Below are 4,542 nucleotides of genomic sequence, written 5' to 3'. Positions count from 1 at the left end.
CCTTTTGGTACTAGGGTACAAAATTTTAAATAGCTTTAGGCCTGGGGAAGTCTGTTGTAAGAGTCAGGCAAGAAAGAATACATTATTAATCAAAAAGATTTCTGCACCCATTAACTCATCATTTAGCATTAGGTATATCTCCTAATGCTATCCCTCCCCCCTCCCCCCACCCCACAACAGTCCCCGGTGTGTGATGTTCCCCTTCCTGTGTCCATGTGTTCTCATTGTTCAATTCCCACCTATGAGTGAGAACATGTGGTGTCTGGTTTTTTGTCCTTGCGATAGTTTGCTGAGAATGATGGTTTCCAGCTTCATCCACATCCCTACAAAGGACATGAACTCATCATTTTTTGTGGCTGCATAGTATTCCATGGTGTATATGTACCACATTTTCTTAATCCAGTGTATCATTGTTGGACATTTGGGTTGGTTCCAAGTCTTTGCTGTTGTGAATAGTGCCGCAATAAACATACGTGTGCATGTGTCCTTACAGCAGCATGATTTATAATCCTTTGGGTATATACCCAGTAATGGGATGGCTGGGTCAAATGGTATTTCTAGTTCTAGATCCCTGATGTATACATATGTAACAAACCTGCACTTTGTGCACATGTACCCTAAAACTTAAAGTATAATAATAATAAAAAAAAGAAAACCTAAAATGTACTATAATTCTATATCATTCAGAAGAGCAATTTAATATAATAGAAATCTATACTTGTAAAAAAAAAAATTTCTGATGAATGTGTCAAGATAAGTGGAGGAAGATAAAAACAACCTTATTTTTTCCTTATTTCAATCAAAAAATCTAGTAACATAAACAATTAGACCTGATGACATAAAGGATATATAACCAAGTTGTAGCAATCTAGTGCATCCCAAGAAGAGAAGCACTTATTCCCATTTAAGTGGAAACAAGATGACAGTGTTAACTTGCAGCCAGTTAGGCAACTCATGCTATCAAAGTATTGTTAACTGGAGAATGTCAAGGTTTATACATTTGGAAAGGAGAGCTTTAGTTCTTACAAAGTGTTGCAGCCTGCTGTGTGGCCATTCAGACCAGGCTGGGAATAGCATAGCCTCCGGCCAGAAGATGAAAACAGATACTTTGAGGGAACAGCAAAGGGAACAGGAATTTATGCTGATTGGGGTAGCCAAATATGCATATTTAATAAGCCACAAGGGTGTTTTGGGAAGCCAGGGACCCAGAACGGAGGGACCGGGTGGAGCTGAGGCAGAAGAATATAAATTGTGAAGATTTCATGGACATTTATCAGTTCCCAAAATTAATACTTTTACAATTGCTTATACCTGTCTTTACTGCAGTCTCTGAACATAAATTATGAAAATTTCATGGACATTTATCACTTACCCAATCAATACTCTTATAATTTCTTTTGCCTGTCTTTACTTTAATCTCTTAATCATGTTATCTTCGTAAGCTGAAAATGTATGTCACCTTAGGACCACTGTTGTACAAATGGATTGTAAAACATGTGTTTGAACAATATGAAATCAGTGCACCCTGAAAAAGTACAGAATAACAGTGATTTTCAGGGAACAAGGGAAGACAACCATAAGGTCTGACTGCCTGCCAGGTTGGGCAGAATACAGCCATATTTTTCTTCTCTCAGGAAGCCTATAGACGGATGTGCAAGTAGGAGAAATATCACTGAATTCTTTTCCCAGCCAGGAATGACCCTGGGGAAGGAATGCATTCCTGGGGGTAGGTCTATAGATGCCACTCTGGGAGTGTCTGTCTTATGCGGTTGAGATAAGGACTGAAATACACTCTGGTCTCCTGCAGCACCCTCGGGCTTACTAGGATTGGGAAATTCCAGCCTGGTAAATTCTAGTCAGACCGGTTGTCTGCTCTTGAACCCTGTTTCCTGTTAAGATGTTTATCAAGACAATGCGTGCACAGCGGGACATAGACCCTCATCGGTAATTCTAATTTTGCCTTCACCTTGTGAACTTTATTGCCCTTTGAAGCATGTGATCCTTGTGACCTACTCCCTGTTCGTACACTGCCTTCCCTTTTAAAATCCATAATAAAAACTTGCTGGTTTTGCGGCTCGGGGTCGTTATCACAGTCCTACCAATGTGATGACACCCCCAGAGGCCCAGCTCTAAAATTTCTCTCTTTGTACTCTTTCTCTTTATTTCTCAGACCAGCCAACACTTACGGAAAATAGAACCTACGTTGAAATATTGGGGGCTGGTTTCCTCTATACAAGAGGAGTCATGAATATTTATGAAAGGAGAAATCGCACATGCACAGGTGAGCTTTGTGTTTCTTTGTGTGTTGCATGTGCATAAAATGATGTCATTAGGATGATCCCAGGGTGGAGTGTTTGGTTCTCTGATGTCAAAAGGTGAAACAGAGGACGTGAAAATCCTCACTGTGTATCCTCTATAGACTGGCCAGAACCACTCTGTGGCAGGTAGTCTCTTTATCAGGAAGGAATGCCAGATGGTTGTTGTACTGAAACCACAAAAGGAAGAGGCAGTCAGGAGGTTGGTTGAAATCAGTGGTGGAGTCTTTTGAAAGGGTGGTTTCTGTTTAGCCCTTAGGGAAGAAGACCTAATGGTGACTATTGAGAGAGTATAAGCAGGTGTGTTTGACCTCCCATCCTGTCAAGTCCAGCAGCTCAGCTTCCAAGGTTTCTGTGGGATTCCCTTGGCCAATGGACTGTCTGCTCAGTCAGCTGGGCGGGCTTAGAATTTTATTTTTGTTTCTCAATAAAAACCAAAAGATCACTTTCATCTAAATCACTTAGATTATTACGTTCTCCACTACCTATTCTCAATGAAAGTGCCATTATGTCTATTAACCCCACATTATTTACCAAAAAAGGTATAATTACTGTGTGATTAAATAACAAAATAGATTGTTAGTTTCATAACTCTAAGTTATATTAAACCACATCATTTTTGTTTCAGATTCAATTTTAAACTGGTCAGGAGTAAAGACACAACCAGCAAAATTAAAGTGTGCTGTGTTTTTTTGCAGAAGTGGTTGGAAGTTGCTGCGATAGCAAATACATTCTTAAGACTCAGAAGTTCAAAACTCCAATTCTTTTTAATAGAGCTCATAGCAAAATTAATGTTGCAAATGACATTCAAAATTGTATTCTTATCATTAAAATATTATAAAAATTAATATTATTCAAAAGATACATATATAGTATATATATTTTATATACATATTATATATATGCAGTATTAACATTGGATTCCTAACCTTAAGTAAATTTTATCAATTTCTATCTGGCAAAATTAGACATATTCTTTAATTCTTGTTTTTTTAATTCTGGAAGTAATTCACTTTGCTATGCCTCAATTTTCTATACAAAAAAATTTAAAATCTTTACTTGGATAGAGTTATTTTGAGAAGGAAACTAATGATCCATCTTATATAAAATTTTCAGAATCAAAGTTTAATCTTCAAGAATACAGTTTCTAATGGCTGGTAAATGTAATCATCATGAGTATGGTTGAATTTTGTCATTGCAACATTGGCCATTTGTATAAGAACAAAAATGGAATGACCAGACCCTCCAAAGTCCCTATATATACAAAATTGGTAAAAAAAATCCACACTCCTTTGGCAGGAGACTTTCCCACAAAATGACATTTTCTGTTCATGTTTTAGCTAAAAATAGAGAAAGAAGAATTATCTTAGTAGCTTTATAAAAGGGTTTTTTTTCTAATACTATCACAGAAATCAAATGTGAATTAAAAAACAAAAATAACAAAATCCATGTTCATATCTTGCTGCATTTGAAGTTTTCAACATTTATCTCTTAACCATCATTTCCACTTTTATTTCTTAAACATGCCTATAACTTTTCATCATTAAGTTTATTTCTGATAGCAGCAAGTGCTGATTGCTCACCTTGTCAACTTCAGTTTTAATAATATATTTAAAATTGTAAGATTCCACTTGAAGTATATTAGTCTTTCAATAAATAATAGTTTTAGTTATCAATAGTCCCATCTGTTAGGAATCCCTCTCTCCTTGTTCCCACCCCCTGGCAACTTTTGTTTATGTAAACATTTGTTTATGTATTCAGAATATGTTAATTAAATAGAACATATGTCTAATACACAAATTGGAGAAAAATTAACTCATGAGTATAAAAATGATCCCCAAAGGATTGAAAATACCTTTGCAATATCAGAATCTTTATGGGAGAAGTCAATGACAGAAGTCTAAATCTTTAATCCACATTTGTTTGCTCAGTTACTCATTCATTCAACAAACAGAAAACCTACATCTTCTATGATCTCAAGCAGGTATACAATACTAAAGGTGAAATTGTTTTAAGGATGGGGAATACTTGCCAAAGGTATCTTTGTCTCAAATTCAGATAATGCAAACATAGTTGGCTGTGGAGGTGTCCAAGAATCAGACACATATAATCTTTATTTTTTTAATGAAAATACAGGAGTCAAAGTAGAATTTCAGTCTTGTCTATGACAAAAAAGGGATGTGCTTTTATCAGTGAAATTTTAACATTTTAAAACACTTGATCTCTC

The 4,542-nt window shown here is 36.0% G+C and overlaps 1 annotated feature.

Moving 5' to 3' along the window:
• Window positions 1,625-2,126: an enhancer, noted in NCBI's record as "NANOG hESC enhancer chr8:88763590-88764091 (GRCh37/hg19 assembly coordinates)". NCBI's record gives its function as "activates a minimal SCP1, AML or CMV promoter by ChIP-STARR-seq in naive and primed H9 embryonic stem cells {active_cell/tissue: H9 hESC(naive and primed)}" and the evidence as "EXISTENCE:reporter gene assay evidence [ECO:0000049][PMID:30033119]".

Source organism: Homo sapiens, chromosome 8, assembly GCF_000001405.40.
Source record: "Homo sapiens chromosome 8, GRCh38.p14 Primary Assembly".
NCBI classification, from domain to species: domain Eukaryota; kingdom Metazoa; phylum Chordata; class Mammalia; order Primates; family Hominidae; genus Homo; species Homo sapiens.
This window is presented reverse-complemented; position numbering and strand designations above follow the sequence as displayed.